The 18,651-nt window shown below is 49.8% G+C and overlaps 2 annotated features.

Annotated features, from left to right (window-relative positions):
- Positions 5,161 to 5,346: a silencer, noted in NCBI's record as "fragment chr12:54609784-54609969 (GRCh37/hg19 assembly coordinates)". NCBI's record gives its function as "represses an EF-1alpha promoter that drives an FKBP-Casp9 reporter gene in an ReSE screen in K562 erythroleukemia cells {active_cell/tissue: K562}" and the evidence as "EXISTENCE:reporter gene assay evidence [ECO:0000049][PMID:32094911]".
- Positions 7,148 to 7,197: a silencer, noted in NCBI's record as "silent region_4524". NCBI's record gives its function as "represses an Ori minimal core promoter by ATAC-STARR-seq in GM12878 lymphoblastoid cells {active_cell/tissue: GM12878}" and the evidence as "EXISTENCE:reporter gene assay evidence [ECO:0000049][PMID:35858748]".

An 18,651-nucleotide genomic window follows, 5' to 3' on the forward strand; every position in this document is an offset into this window, starting at 1 on the left:
CAGCGGCCACCTCCAGTCCCTTCCTCTTCCTAGGTATCTTTCCATTTCTCCACAGCTTCGATTTGACTGGTCATTTGATGTAAGACCCAGGAGATGGAGCTGCCACGGCCACCCCTCAGCCCCTCCTTAGCCCAACCGTATCCTGGAGCTGCAGGACCCAGGTTCTCAGATCCAGGCCTTCCCCTTCCCCTGCGCCCTCTCAGAGTGGGGTCTTGCAGAGGAGCCTGCAAAGGGGGCACCAACAGGAGGCATAAACAAACAGTGCATGGGAGAGGAACTGGAGATACAAAAATAAAACTGACCTCAAGCAGGTCATAAACAAAGCGGGACCCACTGTAAATAAGGGTGAAATTTACCATAAACAGAAAGTAAAAGGGGCTATGAGCAGAGGGCCTTAGGGGGGTGAAAAGCATGATCAGTGCCCCCTCCCCAAGTGAGCAGTGGAAGGAAGGGGATCTGGGAGCACCTGGCCCAGGGAAAAGGAGGTCTGGAGAAAGGGGCACCTTGAGAGGCAGGAGTTTACTGTTATCCAAAGGGATACCACACAGGGATATGAGTTGATGGGATCTCCAAACAGTAGGAGGCATGGAGGTGGGACTTGCAGAATGATTTCCTGGTGTCAAGGATGAGTGTAACCTGCCATCACTTCACCATCTCTTTTTATCCTCACTCCCCTCCTTCCAACCCTACAGGGCAGTGGACAGAGTCTTTGGAAATAGCTCGAGGAGAAAGATTCTGAAGCTGGAGCCCACTCCAAATCTCAGGAAAGAGAAGGTCCTGAGTAGGATGGGGAGTGTGGAAAAGAAGGCCCGGAAGGGAATACCACCCATCCCAGCAAGACAAAAACATAAAGTCAATTCAAAGGTAAAGAGCTCATTCTACTTTTCCTCCTTCCCTCTTCCACTTATTTCCTGTCTCACCTTGCACTTCCTCCTGTCTCTGTTTTCAGCCTCCTCTATTTTTCCTTGCTTCTGGTGGCATCTATACCTCCCAAAACATGAGGTTCAAAGGCAAAATTTTTAGTGAATCCCAGCATTGCTCTCTTATATCAAATGACCAGTCAAATTGAGGCCGTGGAGACGTCTGGCACATTTAGGAATTGCTTCTGTCTCAGTCTCACCCTGGTACACACACATGCACACTCACACACATTGACACACACACTCACACACATTCAGGCACTCACACACTCGCACACTCACACACATTCATACACTCACATACACTCACACCACACACGCACACACATTCACACACTCACACATATTCACACACACCATACACTCACACACTCACACTCACACACACACCACACGCTCACACACACATACACACACGCACACATACACACACTCGCACACACACTCACAAGAGCACGTTCTCTTCACTTTCATCTCCATGTACATGTCTCTGCCTCCATGTTCTCCATCCTTCTGAACTCTGGAAGTCAAGAGGGGAAGGATGAAATTGATGTCTGCCTTTGCAAAAGGATCCAGGTAGATCCCATTCTGTTCCTAATCTCTAAGCATGGGTGTGAGGGTGAGGGGAGAGATGGAGCCCATAAATCCTCTGAAATCTTCCTAGGACCAAGAGAAGGTCCATATATTGCCAGACCTTAAAACCATAAGTTGCTCCACCACTGTCGTCCCCCACCCCCAACCACATAATTACTATTCATAGTGCACAACTGGGTGATTAATGACCTGATTAATAATTACTCAGGCTAATAAAATAATTAATTAATTTGGCAAGCCATTATTTATCTGTTCATCCTCAGCCTGAAACTCTACAACTAGGAGTTTAGGAATCTCCCCTCCAGGCTGTTTCAGAAATATGATCATTAGTGTGGGCTGGGAAGGATGGGGGATGAAATTCTCCATCCTGAGACCCTCCCAAGGTAGGAAAGGGCCCGAGGGCTTTCTGAGAATGCAGACCGGAAAGAATGAAACAAAAATGACCAGGTAACCTCAAGCCCAGGAAAAGAGCTGACCAGGGAGGCCAGGGACATTGGGATAGGGGAGCATAACAGGGAGCTTGAGGGGGTGCATCTGAGCACCCAGGTTTGGGGAATTCTTAGATGTATTCTCTCCAGCAAATGATTGATGACACCATTTTCAACAAATGATCTTTATCTCGCCTCTTGTCTCCCAAATTTATGATTTTGCCCCCAAGCCCCAGGCTAGACAAGCAAGGACTAGGTAAATTCTGGGGTGGGGAGGCTGACTTGGAGTAGGGCCCAAGAATCAGTGGGGAATCTTTGGGACTCTGCAGAGGGGAGAAGTCTCCCCTACCATCAGTTTCTGAGCTCTTAAGAAATAAACCTCTGAATCAGACTTCAATTTAGGTCCCCAGAACCCAGAGGCTCTGGAGTACCTGCCCCCTAGCAGGGAAGGGAGCAAATAGCAAGGAGAAAGAAAGGATGACTGATCTCCTAGGAAGTGAGGAGGGAAGCAGAGGCTCACCCCAGGAGTGAGGGAATGAGAAAACTGGCTTGTCTAGTCAGTTTGTGAACAGGCAGAGGCATCTCTGCCATGTTCTAGGCCCGGGGCAGACATGAGACACGACTTCTCCCAATCTGGGGCTGAGGCACCAGTGGGTCCTTGGCCAAGCAGCTCTAGATTGGATTCCCAGTATGTACTAGGATGGATAAGAATCAGACTCGGACCTAGTGATGCTCAAGTTCTAGTGGAGCTGGGGGGAACCGATTTGTGAATAGATAATGCCCCAGGATAAATGCCATAAAAAGGAGGCGAGTACAAAGTCCATGGGGGCACAGAAACATGCTTCCTGGGGGTGTTAGAGAAAAGAATGCCCAGCAAGGGGATATTTGAACTAGGCCTTGAGGAATGAGTAGAAATTTACCAAATAGAGATCAAAATCCAGGATGTGATTAGCTGGGCACAGTGGAGCACGTATGTAGTCCCAGCTGCTAGGAAGGCTGAGGCAGGAGGATGGCTTGAGACCCAGAGGCTGAGGCTGCAAGTGAGCTGAGATCGCACCACTGCACTCCAGCCTGAGTGACAGATCAAGACCCTGTCAAAAAAAGAAACAAAGAAAGAGCAGGATGTGTTTGGAGAATTTCGAGTAGGCAAAGAAGTGATCTGATGAGATCAGAGGCTTAGATTTGGCCAAACATAAAAGATGGAGATGGGCTAAGAAGGAGTCTGGACCTTTTCTCCTAGGCAATGGGGATCTACTGGAGATTAAAGTAAAAGAGTGACCTACACTGATTTGTGTTTTTTGTTATTGCTTTCGTTTTGTTTTGTTTCAGACAGAGTCTGGCTCTGTCACCCAGGCTGGAGTGCAATGGTGCCATCTCGGCTCACTGCAACCTCTGCCTCTCGGGTTCAAGCGATTCTCCTGCCTCAGCCTCCCGAGTAGCTGGGATTACAGGGGCACGCCACCACACCAGGCTAATTTTTGTATTTTTAATAGAGACGGGGTTTTGCCATGTTGACAGGCTGGTCTCGTACTCCTGACCTCAAGTGATCCACCCACTTCGGCCTCCCAGAGTGCTGGGATTACAGGCGTGAACCACCGCGCCCGGCCAATTTGTGTTTTAGAAAGATAATTTTGGTAAGTGGAGAGGAGAGACAGTAGGCAGGGGGTCCAATGAGAAGGCTGGAACATGCCCAAGCTAAGACATCCTGAAGGACTGACAGGCTGGGACCAGGCAGTGGCCAGGCAGCTGGGAGCAGGCAGGTTGAATTTTAAACCTCCATAATCTGGATATAAAGATACCCTAAGCGTGACGCTGCTGGGGATTCTTCTCATCACCCTCCCCGGTCGAGCGTGAGTGTGGAGCTGGGCAGGCAACCTGGTACTTGGATTCACCTTTTGAAGGATGGAGAGGAGCTCCCTTCTCCACAAGGAGTTGAAGGGTGGAGGAGTTAGAGCCAGGCCTGGCTGGGAGTTCTGGCGTCCAGGATGCAGGAGGCTTCAGCAGAAGAGGCGTGGCCAACAGCCCCTGAATTAGCAGAACCCCGCCCATTTTGTGGGCACTGAAGACAGGCAGCGCGATAGTGTCCTTGTTGGCCAGCAGAGGGCGCAATAGGAGGCGGGCCGCACCCGAAGATGGCTATAGCGCTGTGCCCGAGCCAGCCTGGGCGCCCTCTGCCGGGCAGCCCCGACTCGGGGCTCCCACAGCGGGGTCTTCGGTCCCGTGTTTCTGCGCCAGGGTCCAGGCCCACTGGCCTGTACCCAGAATCCTCCAGGGAACTGGGATCCCGCCCTGGAGAATCGGATCCTGGGTCTAGGATAGCCAGTTCTGGGGACCACCCCTCGCATTCTTGGGTTCCCTCTCTGGCATCTGACAGCTAGCTCTCCCTAGCTGGCCCCCCCGCCTACCATCTCCAGCTTTTGCTTGATTGCCTCCAAAGACGCGGACCTAGCCCCTCCAAGAGATTCAACCTGTGTGAATGTGGGTGTACCCACCCCTGTGCACACGGGTGTCTGCATGGCTTGGACTCCCACAGCCTGCATTTGCATAAAACAAAATGCTTTCCCTTTGGTTATTTCAGGCACATAGTCCTTTAAATAGCGTAAGAAGGCCAGGCACGGTGGCTCACGCCTGTAATCCCACCATTTTGGGAGCCCGGTGCGGGTAGATTACCTGAGGTCAGGAGTTTGAGACCAGCCTGGCCAACATGGTGAAACCCCTGTCTCTACTAAAAATAAAAAAATTGGCTGCGCGTGGTGGCACGCACCTGTAATCCCAGTTACTTGGGAGGCTGAGGCAGGAGGATCGCTTGAACCTGGGAGGCAGAGGTTGCAGTGAGCCGAGACCGTGCCATTGCACTCCAGCCTGGACGACAAGAGCAAAACTCTGTCTCAAAAAAAAAAAAAAAAAAAAAAAGCCTAAGAAGTGAGCAAGACAGAAGTACCCATTTCACGGATCAGGACATGGGGCTTCAAACCGAGGTCACACAGCTAGGACAGTGCATGATTTAAAGCCAGGCCTCCACCCAAAACTTTATTTGGTGTCCCTACTATGTGCTAATCAAGGTGTGGTTCCTGCTCACCCAGGTCACCCAGAGAAACAAAGTAGAAGAGCCATAGGATTTCTGACCAGGCTGGCGAGAACAGGGCAAGCTTCCCAGAGGAGCCTTTTCTAGGGTTGCAGGGAGGACATTTCAGGAGCGGCCCTGAATGCGCCAAAGCTAGGGGATGGGACTGGCGAGTTGCCACGGGAGCCCACGTGAGGGTCTTCGAGGAGGTCTGCGCCACCCGGGTGCAACCCGAGGCTACGGTTCATCCAAACACACCTCGCCCCATCCGGCTGGGGAAGGACTTCCTGCAAGCCCTGAGTGGGGGTGTGTGGCGGGACCACCCAGGTGTCCATCCAGGTGGGCAGTGAGCGTGAGAGCACCTGGTCAGGAACCTCCCACCTCTCGGGCCCTGCAGCCGCTTCCGTGGGGGAAGGGCAGCCGACTTCACCTAAGCTTCCACCTACTGCATCTAACCCTTAACTGTATCTCCCGCCCCCACCACCCCTGACGGGTTCCCATTATAAGAGGGTTTCAGATAACTCACCTCCCACCCCGGGAACGACGTCATCACCCCTTCACCCTCTGCCACCACGTCTGACTCCAACGGGGAAGTCCTTCCTGGTGTCTGACCACCCTTCCTCCTGCTGCAGCTTCAGCTAAACCTAACAACTTCTGACCTCACAGGAGAAAGGGGCTGCCTTAACTTTCCTTCTCTGAGCTAAACAATCCAAATCTCCAGCCCCTTTTCCACGCTCACATCCCATTTTCCCGTTCTAACAAAGCTTTCCTTTAGGGGCCTGGATCTTCCGTTTTTCCCGCCTTCCGACGTCAGATCAATCCATGACAGCTTTCTGATTGGCTAACCCCTCCCTTCTAATTGCCCCTGTCACTTCAGAACCTCCCCTGCTGTATCAATATGTAAGTCCCACAGATGGCCTCAGTTTCCCTGGTAGGGAGTTGAGCCGCCTCTTGGCACCCTCTTGCTTTGGGAGGAGGGGTGTCCTGCTCAACTCACCCGAGTCATCTCTTCCCTGCCCAAGCTTCTGAACAGGACACTGCCACATTGTCATTCATCTGAAAAGCATTTATTGAGCGCCTACTATATGTCTGGCCCGAATTCTTGTCTCAGCTCACAGCCCTCCGGTTGCTCCATAGGCTTAGGGGAAGGAGCAGGAGATCTTGAAATGCCAATCTCCAGTCTGGAGCGTGGGGTAAGAGAACTGAAGTCGTCTGCGACTGAGTGAAGCCACCGAGGAGGGGCGGGGAGGTGGGACGCCTGCAGGTCTCGGCGCTCGGAAACCGCGGAGAGGAAGCATCGCTAGGCGCCCCACCCTCACAGCGCTCAAACCTGACGCCGGATTTCCCATTCTTAGCGCAAGGAAGACCCCTTGTGGCCATTGTGGGAAGAGTCAGCAAGGGAAAAAAAAAAAAGCGGGAAAAAAAACAAGCCAGAGCCGGGAGATGACAGCCTCAGCCCAGACTCCCTTCCAGTTCTTGCCTAGCGTGGGGACTTATTCTTTGGTCGTTGGGTGGGGGAGAGGGGGCGGGAGTTGATGCCCAGGCCCCACTCCCACACCCTCAGAACCCAACATTTGGGACTTTGGGAATAATCTTCTCACTAAACCACCCGGAAAAATAAAACAGAAACAATAGCAAATGTGACTATGGTTAGACTTCTGTAGGGACTTCTCAAGAAGCGGATGGGAGGCAGAAGGACGGGTCACAATAAAGGGATGAAAGAAATCAGGTCTTCCGGACGACCCCCTCCCTGGCTATGGGGAGGGGTAATTCTGGGAGACCCGGGCGGGTGTGGGATCATCTACCCACCCTGCGGCTCCTTCCCGCTCGCAGTGAAGGAAGGACGCTCAGACCAACAGGGGCTCAGGTATTCTGGGTGTCAGGACCCTTCCTCCTGCACGCATCTTACGCAGGGTGGGGCTGAGGGCGTGAGGGCACAAGTCATTGAGGACATGGAGGGAACCCACGCTCGTCCCGATAGATTGTCACGGTCCTGAGGCGGGACGGTCAGGACAGGGAAGATGTATTTCTTCCCCCTGCATCCCCTCCCGCACCGCGTCTGAACTCCTCTGGGAGCGCAAGAACAGTAACAATGCTGCGCCCCTTCCCCCACCCTTTGACTCCGCTCGCAACCTAGCCCGGGCCGGGCAGCGCGAATTTGCATACATTTGCATACCCAGCTGCGCACAGCTGCATTCGGCTTTGGGCCATAAATTCGTGGCTGGCGGCTCTGGGCGAGCAGGCCCCACGCGGGGCAGGCGTTCTCCCTGCGCGCCTCCGCCGCGGCTGTTCACGTCCCGGGTACTGGCGCGTTCTCACGCCTCCCTGAGTAACCGCTGGATCAGTCCTGCCCGGACCCGGCTCCCCTGGCTCGAGCCACCTTCTGGGCATGTCTGTCTCGCACTGGCGCAGGCCAAGCCTGCAATCTCAGATTCTGGTTCCTCCATTTCTCTTGGACTCGACTTGGTCAATGTCTCCTGAATGCGCTCATCTTTACCTGACGCCTTGGACCAGGGGCTTCTGGTGGGATTTTCCTGCTAGGACTGGTGCATAGCCTCTTAGGTGGTAGTCCTGCCTCTGGGGTTACCTTGCTAAAAAATTGGTCTAATGGAGGTCAACAGCTAAAAACTCTGGACTCCCAGGCTTGCAGAATAAAGCTTATATTGTTCACCCTTGCCAAAGAAAGCCCCTGACGTTCTGTCAGCATCCCCCTTCTCTAGCCTTATCTTCTGCATCATGGCCAGACTCAGGCACACAACAGCCAGCGCTTCGGTTACACAAAACTGCTCTGAGGGTCCCTAAGCTCCTCATGAGCTCTCTCACTCTGCCTGGACTTACCTGCACCTTGCTTCCACCTGGACTGCTCTTCTGCCCTCTTGTCTGTTTGACAGACACATTCTTTGAAAATCATTGCACAGACGTTCTTTCCTTTGGAAAGACCTCTGAGATTCCTCTCACCCCTGGCAATTGATAATGACATCTATTAGCACTTACTGCAAAAACATTTGGTCAGTTGCACTTACCAAATTGTGAGCTCTCACTTAAGACAGAGAATATGTCTGTTCTTTGCTGTATCCCACTTCTGGGCACAAAGTCTGAAGACCAGGAGATACTCAAATACTGAATAAATGAGTGAGGCCTTGACTATTTCAGGCACACATAGATACCCAGGGCTCTGGTGGTCCCAAGCAGCCTTTACATGACATCCCATGGAAGAGCCCCTCCTCTTGGTACTTTTTGGGTCCTTACGCATCTTGGCCCAAGATTGTGAGGGGTGAGAAACCAGGGGGATTATGAGTGGAGAGCTGATGCCGTGAAAAAGCACTGGACTCCGAGCCAAGAAGCTGAGGTTCAAACTCTGGCACCGCATGATCTTGGAGAAGTAACTGCCTCCTTCGAAGGCTGTTTCCTCACCTTAAAATGGGAATAATAGTGACTACTTAATAGGGACTTTGTAATGATGGAGCGAGAATAGTACATAAAATGCTTACTACATGTCTTAAGAGTCCAGACAGGTGACATGAGGTTCCATCTCACTCCCTTGCCCCCGAGAAGGAGAGCACCTCCACTAACAATCCAGGCCAAGAGGCTTAAGGAATTTTACCAGTATGCATTCTGCAAGAAAGTATGAGACAGCGGCCGGGTGCGGTGGCTCACGCCTGTAATCCCAGCACTTTGAGAGGCCGAGGCGGCGGATCATGTGGTCAGGAGATCGAGACCATCCTGGCTAACATGGTGAAACCCCGTCTCTACTAAAAATACAAAAAAAAAAAAAAAAAAAAAATTAGCCGGGCATGGTGGTGGGCGCCTGTAGTCCCAGCTACTCGGGAGGCTGAGGCAGGAGAATGGCGTGAACCCGGGAGGCGGAGCTTGCAGTGAGCCAAGATCGTGCCACTGCACTCCAGCCTGGGTGACAGAGCGAGACAAAGAAACGAAACGAAACGAAAAGAAAAGAAAAGAAAAGAGAAGACCGGGCGCGGTGGCTCAAGCCTGGAATCCTAGCACTTTGGGAGGCCGAGGCGGGCGGATCACAAGGTCAGGAGATCGAGACCATCCTGGCCAACATGGTGAAACCCCGTCTTTACTAAAAATACAAATATTAGCCGGGCGCGGTGGCAGGCGCCTGTAGTCTCAGCTACTCGGGAGGCTGAGGCAGGAGAATGGCATGAACCTGGGAGGCGGAGCTTGCAGTGAGCCGAGATCACGCCACTGCACTCCAGCCTGGGTGACAGAGCGAGACTCCGTCTCAAAAAAAAAAAAAAAAAAAAAAAAAAAGAGAGAGAGAGAGAAAGAAAAAGTATGAGACAGCAAGAATTCATCTTGTAGGATGGGGTTCATACCGGTTCTTCTGCTGAGCATAGTTCTCAGTGCTATTCCCACAGTGGCTACCAGGGGGCAGCACAAACCCCCAAATCACCTCAGGCTGCCTAAAGGGGCTAGAAGAAAGGACCCTTCTGGACTTCCCTCTGAGTATTGAGCCCTAGTCTGAACATGCCTCCCCTGTCTCCACCGTCTTCTCCCAGACAGCTCTTGGTGTGCAAACCACGCCTCCCCCAGTGCTTCCTGTCTTCTCTGGTTTTGTGTTCCCTTGGTCAATTTATAACAAATGTCCAGCAGGGCTCGTTGGCTCACGCCTGTAATCCCAGCACTTTGGGAGACCGAGGCGGATGGATCGCTTGAGGTCAGGAGTTTGAGACCAGTCTGGCCAACATGGTGAAACCCCGTCTCTACTAGAAATACAAAAATTAACCCGGCGTGGTTGCCCACGTCTGTAATCCCAGCTATTCAGGAAGCTGAGGCAGGAGACTCTGTTGAACCCGGGAGGTGGAGGTTGCAGTGAGCCAAGACAGCGCCACTCCATCTCAAAAGGAAAGGGAAAAAAATGTCCAGGCCTCCTAACTGTCCAGACTGCCCTTAATTATGGTCAATTATGCCCTAAGTGTGCATCCCAGGATTGGGAGGGGCACAGTCAAAGCTTCTGAGAACAGAACACAGTCGGGGGTGCTCAGGAAGACAGACCTGAGTTCCAGGCCTAGGGACAAATGTGACATTTTGGGCTACTCAGAGCCTTCTCCTGGGCTCAATTTCTCTCAGAATTGTTAGATATACATGCATTCATTGCATGGAAAGCTCCACTTTTCTCTCTGTTTGATCCATTATTGTTCCCTCTCACTCCACCCAGGCTTCATCCTATCCCTGTACAGGCCAGAGCCTCCCTCATACTAGCCCTATTTCTGGTCTTCTTAACTCCTCGAACTAATGACAAAGATCTATCACCCTTAACCCTAACCTCCCCCTTGGCTACATGTACCAAGTCCTACCGCACCAAGAGATACAGTCGGGACCCAGCGTCACATCACTCATGGGTGTGCCCAACACTGAGGGAACTGATATTAATATAAGGTTCCCACTCCCACCATGCCTCTTTTCTGAGTGAAACAACAGAAAACTCAATGACCTTATAGGAGGCTGGTGTGTGTGTGACATCCAAGATGCTGGGCACTTTTGGAATCCCCAGCCTTCTCACTTCCCATCCTACAAACAGGAGGGCTTGGTGAATTTACCTGCTGAGACTCTTATCTCACCTTTCGTTCACGCTGTGGTGCCCAGGAGATGCCTGGACACACTCAGGTGGCTCTCCCTCACATAGCGCCTTTTCTCTCACTGCCTACCATACCTCACATCATTCCTGCCTTTTTACTGCCTTTTATTTTCCTCTCCTTTTATGCACCCACCCTTTCTACTTACATTTCCTCTCCCCTTTTCCCTCTGGGGCTTGGTTTCTTCCCATCCTTCTCACTCTCTAAAATCCTGTCCTCTTTCCATCCCAAATGCTTTCCTCTATAACTACCACCACCAGCAACAGCTCTCCATCACCCGTCTCTGTGCTTCCCCTCCCAGGCCTGAGGCACCACAAGGGCGTAAGTGATTTATGAGCCACCTTTTAAACTCAGAAACCAAAAACTTCTGGTGCTTCAAGGGGGCATACTGTGCAATCTTACTGCTGTGATCAGACTCAGTGATAAGGATATCTAGACCAAGACAGTCTCATGGAGAAAGCAAGAAGGCAGAAGGGAAGACTATGGAGCTGGGGCGGGGACTGGCCAGAAAGTCTGGGCAGTGAAGTCTTACTAACCATTATTAGTGTTTTTGGTGAGTTTCACACTGTGGGTGACGATGGAGACAAGTCCAAGTAGGAGGTGAGAGGGCTGGGGATTCCACCGTGCCTCTCTAAATGTCACATCATGTCTTTTTTGGTGGGGTAGGGGACAGACATTTAGGCTGGAGTGCAGTGGTATGATCTGGGCTCACTGCAGCCTCAACCTCTTCAGCTCAAGTGACCCTCTCACCTCAGCCTCCCAAGTAGCTAGGACTATAGGTGCGCTCCACAACGACCAGCAAATTTTTTAATTTTTTGTAAAGATGTCTTGCTAGTTGCCCAGGCTGGTCTCAAACTCCTGGCCTCAGCAATCTTCCCCAGCCTCGCAAAGTGCTGATACTATAGGGATGAGCCACCATACCTGGCCTCATGTCATTCTTTAAATAATTTTCACTTTCTTGTTCACTGTTCATCCTTCAGAAAGTCTATAATGACCATGTCCCAGCACAAACTATGTTTTAGACTATGAGCTCTGGAAGGCAGGGATGACATGTAACTCCATTAAAAGCTCTTTGCATACTATCCTCTGGGAACAGATGTTTAATGAAGGTTTTTTTTTGTTGCTGTAAATGATGAGATGATGTGGTCAATGGAGTTAATAATAGTGACCATGAAGGAAGTGTGATCATGATCAAGTTAATGATGATAACAGTAAGGGCACTGATCAGTGGTGACAATGACAGCATTGGTGAAAAATGAAGCAAGTGGGAACCATGACTTGACCACTGATTCATCCCACAATTATTTAATAAGCATCTGCTATATGCTACACACTCAGCCAGGAATTGAAGATCCACAGATGAAGTAGAAATGGACTCTGTCCACAGGAATTCGCAGTTTATTTTATAATACAGATGAGGCATAAGAGGTTGTGAAAGCACCAAAGAGAGAATGAGTAATTTTACTTGGAGGAACCCATGAAGGCATCAGGGAGGAAGAGACCAAAATATGCAGAGTGGATTGTGGGAGCAGAGGCATTGAAATCCAAGAGACCAGCTTGTTGGGGCTTGGAGCATAGTTCTGTGAAATTCTGGGAGGGATAAGGAGAATAGAAGTGGAGGAAAATGCAGTAAAGGCAGGTCTGGGGCAGACTTTGAAGGGTCTGCATTTGAGGAGTTTCCAGGATTCTCAGGAGGAGGTAGCAAAGGGCAAGTGGATACAGAGAGAACAGTGATACAGTCAAGGCCCAGAGATATCGGTGTGGGGGGTCATAAGTCCATAAGTAATGGTTGAAATAATGAAAGTATAGAAGCTATTTTAGAAGATGGGAACAAACTGGGGTAAGAACAACAGCTGAGGCCGGGCATGGTGGCTCACACCTGTAATCCCAGCACTTTGGGAGGCCGAGGCGGGGGGGATCACGAGATCATGAGATCGAGACCATCCTGGCTAACACGGTGAAACCCTGTCTCTACTAAAAATACAAAAAATTAGCCAGGCGTGGTGGCGGGTGCCTGTAGTCTCAGCTACTCAGGAGGCTGAGGCAGGAGAATGGCTTGAACCCGGGAGGCGGAGCTTGCAGTGAGCCAAGATCGCGCCACTGCACTCCAGCCTGGGCGACAGAGCGAGACTCCATCTCAAAAAAAAAAAAAAAACAACTGAGAATGGAACACTGGAACCACTACTGTTTCAAAGGTATGAGACTAACACGAAGTGGCCAGGGGGCCCTCCAGACCACGGATACTGGTAGAATCCATACACAGTACATTGATACTTCTTTTTTTTTTTTTTAAGAGACAAGATCTTACTCTGTTGCCCAAGCTGGAGTGCACTGGTATAAACAACGCTTACTGCAGCCCCAACCTCCCCGGTTCAAGCGATCCTCCCACCTCAGCTCTCTGAGTAGCTGGGACTATAGGCATGCACCACTACAATCAGCTAATTTTTGTGTTATTTGTAGAGATGGGGGTACGTACCACCTTGATGCCCAAGGTGGTCTCGAACTCCTGGGCTCAAATGATCCTCATGCCTCGGCCTCCCAAAGTGTTGGGATTATTATAGGCGTGAGCCACCACCCCCAGCCCAGAACTGTTTTTTATGTTAAGTGAAAAAAAGTGCAAAATAGGGACGGGCACAGTGGCTCATGTCTGTAATCCCAACACTGGTCCAGGCAGGAGGATCTCTTGAGCACAGGAGTTCCAGGCCAGCCTGGGCAACATAGGGAGGCCCCATCTCTTTTTTTTTTTTTTTTTTTTTTTTTTTGAGACGGAGTCTCGCTCTGTCCCCCAGGCTGGAGTGCAGTGGCGCGATCTTGGCTCACTGCAAGCTCTGCCTTCCAGGTTCATGCCATTCTCCTGCCTCAGCCTCCCAAGTAGCTGGGACTATAGGCGCCCACCACCACGCCCAACTAGTTTTTTATATTTTTAGTAGAGTGGGGTTTCACCGTGTTAGCCAGGATGGTCTCGATCTCCTGACCTTGTGATCTGCCCGCCTTGGCCTCCCAAAGTGCTGGGATTACAGGCGTCCCAGCCAGGGAGGCCCCATCTCTTAGGAAAAAAAAAAAAAAAAAGCAGGGCATGGTGGCACGCATCTGTAGTCCCAGCTACTTGGGAGGGAGGCTTAGCCCAGGATGTGGAAAGATCGCTTGAGTCTGGGAGGTCGAGGCGGCAGTGAGCTGTGATCATGCCACTGCACTCCAGCCTGAGAGACAGAGTGAGACCCTATCTCAGAAAATAATAATACAAAATGGTACACACACTATGTAAAAACGGGATTTTGTTTCATATGGACAAAAATCTGGTCAAGCACACAAATGTAAAAATATGTCATATTAACATCATAGGATTATAGTTTTCCCAATGTCTACTTTTGTCAATTTTTTGCTATGATTACAATAAAAAGATAAAATACTTTGTGAAAAATGAAATAATTATCCCATATTTGAGCTGAGTCCCCTTAGGAAACTGATACCCAGAGAGGGGAATTAATTTAGCCAATATTACTCAACCTTGTGAATAACAAAGCCAGACTTAAATTCTTACCTAAGGATTTTGCCCAGTGCCTGGGCTGTTCCGAGGTGGTATATTGGTTAATTCGGGAGTGATGCCAGTTGTGAGCTTATTGTTTCCTAGCTTCTCTCAATCCATACATAACTGCGACTCTCTTTGTGCCCTCAGAATTCCAACCTGCTTGTTGCTCTTCCAATAGCATGGGGTCTGTACAGCTATTCTGGTACAGGTCTAAGAGTAGCTTTTCATTTACCTCCATTAATGATTTCTTCCTTTTGGCCCAGAGAAGTCCACAAAGCACCTTCCAAAGCCCCTTCCAAGTGCCTTTCAATCACATTCATAAATGATTTGGGGATTATCTACCGCCTTGAATTATTTAGGCCATTGCTTCCCCTCCATTAAAGTGACTCAACTTGGACTCAGTGAAATTTAATATATTCAAATGAAGACAAAAATGTATTCAGAGAGTTATATTCAAATGAATATAGCCTTCCAACTTATATACACACAGACCTGCCATTTCCTTGTGGAGTAAAGGGGGCTGTCTGTCCCATCTCTTCTTTGAAGATAGCAACAGTTATTCAATTGAGATCTCTAATGAGGATTGGGGAATCCTTACCTGCGGCTACCTGCACTGCCATCCCCTCAACTTCCCTCTTTTATACACACCCCCTTCTCATTCCCTTCCTGGGACCACCTAAAACAGGCTTGGGAATTAAGAAAGCATTGGGATTCCAGGCCCTCCAACTCCCCATACTAGGGTAAAAATTGAAGTCATTCAGGATGCAGAAATAATCCAAGTATTTCTCAGATTTTCAGGAAGGTGATACAGTCCAGAGCAAAGATTATTCTAACTCAGAACACATGAGAGTGGATGCTAAGTTGATTCATTGCCCAGAGCTCTGCAGAAGTGAAGTTCCAGCCATCTGTTTGAGTGAAGAAGATACTGCCTGGAGGCAGAGGATACACAGCCTTAGAGGGCCTCAATTGCCCCTTTCGTGAGCTTCTACATTCCTAGCATCTGTGTTGTGGTGCATACATGTCCCTGCACAACATCTATTTTTCCAACTCCTTCATCTCCACTTTTTTTTTTTTTTTTTTTTTTTTTGGAGACAGGATCTTGCTTTTGTCGCCCAGGCCAAGGGCAGTGGCGCCATCATAGATAAGTGTAACCTCAAACTCCTGGACTCAAGCGATCCTTCTGCCTCAGCTTCCCAAAGTGCTGGGATTACAGGCTTGAGCCCCCATCCCTGGCTGTCCTTCTTCATTTTATTCCACAGTCTCCTAGTTTTTCACAGGGACAACCTTGTGCCTCTCTCTTTTCTACCCCCTCTATCCAAGCTTATAAGTTGGGTCTCCAACCACCCCTCTTCTCTGTTTTGAGTGTAAGAAGTATGGGGAGAAGCAAAGGGTGAGGATGAGAGATCCAATCTCTGAGCCCAGGAACTGTTCCTCACCTCCCTCTACAGGCAGGCTGGGCCTGTCTTTTGCGGGGTTGGGCAGAGGCTGGTGGGGTTGGTGGGGAGAGGAATCAGGGAAATGGTTTCTACCTGCCCCATGATCCTTTAGGCTGATGAATGAGACAAAAGGAGATCCCCAAAGAAAGTTTTCATTCCCATGCTAAATAAGGCAGCAAAAATTTCGGACAGAAATAAGGACCCAACTGGTTTAGTGGGACACTGGAGACCAGTAATTTCCAGTCTTGTTGCAACAACCAGATGGCTCCAATCATGTTAAGGAGGGTTATAAAATTCTCAAAAGTGATCATCTTTAAATTTTTAACAGAAATATACCACACAGATAACTGACTGTGTTCTCTCTCACAAATATGTAATCACACACACACACACACACACAATAAGAATTGGAACTATTTTTCAAGATAATGAATCCGTTTTAGACATCACTGCTGAGAGAATCAGGAGTGCTGGGGATGGAGAGATGCTCCAGTTCCCAGGAAGAGAAAGATGGTAGTCTCCCCGCTTCCCCACATTTCCAAAGGAAATGAGGAAAAACCATCTACACTTTTCTTTCCAACTTAAACCTTTCCCTCACTCCCCCTTATTAGCTCTGTACTCTCTGACACATGAAAATAAAAAACAGGGGCCGGGTGCGGTGGCTCACACCTGTAATCCCAGCACTTTGGGAGTCCGAGGTGGGCGGATCACCGGAGATCAGGAGTTCGAGACCAGTCTGCCCAACATGGCGAAACCCTGTCTCTACTAAAAATACAAAAACTAGTTGGGCATAGTGGTGGGCACCTGTAATCCCAGCTACTCGGGAGGCTGAGGTAGGAAAATCACTTGAACCCAGGAGGCAGAAGGTGTAGTGAGCCGATATCGCACCATTGCACTCCAGCCTGGGCAACAAGAGCAAGACTCCATATCAAAAAAAACAAAAAATGGGAGAGGAAAATGGGAAGAACTGAGAAGACGATAAAAAGGAAAATACAGTAACTAGAAAGGACAATGAACAGTGAAAAGGTTAGGGAGAGGGAAATTAAAAGGGCAGAAAAAAACACGGAGGAAGCATCCTGTGACCTGCTCCAGAAGCAAGACATGTGGCTGCACCACACCCTTGAGCAGCAGGGAGCCCCAGCCCTGCTCTCTCCTGGGAGCATTGTGGCAGCCCCATCCTCTCTATCTCCCAGCTCCATGCGCAGACAGGACTAGAAGGGTAAGGCAGGAACTAGAGCAAGGGGGTATGTGACAGAGGACAGGCCCAGGCGTCTAGGAGCTGGGCTGTCCTGGCTCCTACCAAGAATAGCTGAAATGTACAGAAGCAGAGGATTATAGTGTGGAGTGGAGTGGGGAGAAGCAAAGGGGAAACAGGCTGCATAAGTAAGTGCTGCATGGAAACAGTCTGAAGGAATGGACTCTCCCATTCCTTCCTACACAGCAAAGGCAAGGACCCTAGTTTACCTGCCCTCCTACCTCAACCCCATCTCCACCCCCTATCCCTACCCCTACCCTTGCTGCAGATGTAGAAGCAGAATTTCTTTTTGTTCTTTTTTTTTTGAGACAGAGTTTTGCTCTTGTTGCCCAGGCTGGAGTGCAGTGGCATGATCTCGGCTCACCGCAATCTCTGCCTCCCGGGTTCAAGCAATTCTCCTGCCTCAGCCTCCCTAATAGCTAATTTTGTAAGAATTTCATAAGCTGCAGCAGCTGTGGTCAATACCTCAGCTTCCTACCAGCTTCCTTCTCCAGAAGATAGCAGCAGCAGAAAGAGGAATTAAAAGGAAAGGCTACAATAATAACCCTAAACCTTTTCATCTCAGCAGCCCCCAAATATATCAGCAAGCTCGATTCTCAGCATCTCTTCCTCCCTCCTTGGCTCATAACCAAATGATCAAACAACGCTTTGCTGAGACGAGGCATGAGGCTATTGAGCCAGCATCACCTCTCCCAGTGTGGGAGGGGGCATCACATTATACACATAAACAGAAGCACCTGTTTCCAGAAGCAGCATGGGGGAGAAAGAGCTCATAAAGAGTCCCAGATTGTTATAAGAAATAATTTGATGGGGTTAAAATTAAATGTCCAAATTGAGGTTGCTTATGGAATTTAAAGGGGATGTTGAGAACATGGGGTGGAGAGACTAGAAAAGGAAGAAAAGAAGACAAAGAGAAAAATACACACAATATAGTAGACAAAGGGGAGAAACCATAAAAAATACAGCCTCACAAATAAATGCAGAAGCTAAGAGAGAGGAGGGAGCCAGCAACTGGAAAGCAAGATGTTACAGCTGCGGAGTGGGAGGGGAAAGCAGGAGAGCAACAGGGAAGAGGAAAAAAGGCCAAGTAGCCAAAGAGCTGAGAATCAGACCCTTCCCTTCATCTGTCTTCATCTTCTCTGTGACTTTAAGCAGGTGAATTCTTGGGGTATTCTCACAGTGGCTGCTGCCTCATCTTGGCCTGAACAACAGAATCCCCGCAATGCCTGTGTGGCATGCCCACACACACCAGTTGGCCCCCAGCTTTCACCTTGTCTTCCTGTTCCCCAACACAGATGCACAAGTCACTCTCAAGGCTTGGGGAGCACTTTGGTGTGTCCACAGGATATAATGGGCTCTCCTCTGCACACACTCACATTCAGCAGCCCTCAGTACTGGGGCTTTCACCCCCAGCTCACACTTACTTCCAAAGAGCAGAGGCTGAGGGCTGCTGACTCTTAACAGAGCGATTTAGAACTGTGTGCTCAGGCCAGGCGCTGTGGCTCACACCTGTAATCTCAACACTTTGGGAGGCCGAGGCGGGCAGATCACTTGAGGTCAGGAGTTCGAGACCAGCCTTGTCAACATGGGGAAACCCTGTCTCTACTAAAAAAAAAAAAAAAAAAAAAAAAAAATTAGGCTGGGCACAGTGGCTCACGCCTGTAATCCTAGCTACTCAGGAGGCTGAGAGAGGAGAATCGCTTGCACCCGGGAGGCGGAGGTTGCAGTGAGTTGAGATCATGCCATTGCACTCCAGCCTACGCAACAAGAGCAAGACTCTGTCTCAAACAAAACAAAACAAAAATTAGCCAGGTGTGGTGGTGGG

Source organism: Homo sapiens, chromosome 12, assembly GCF_000001405.40.
Source record: "Homo sapiens chromosome 12, GRCh38.p14 Primary Assembly".
NCBI lineage: Eukaryota > Metazoa > Chordata > Mammalia > Primates > Hominidae > Homo > Homo sapiens.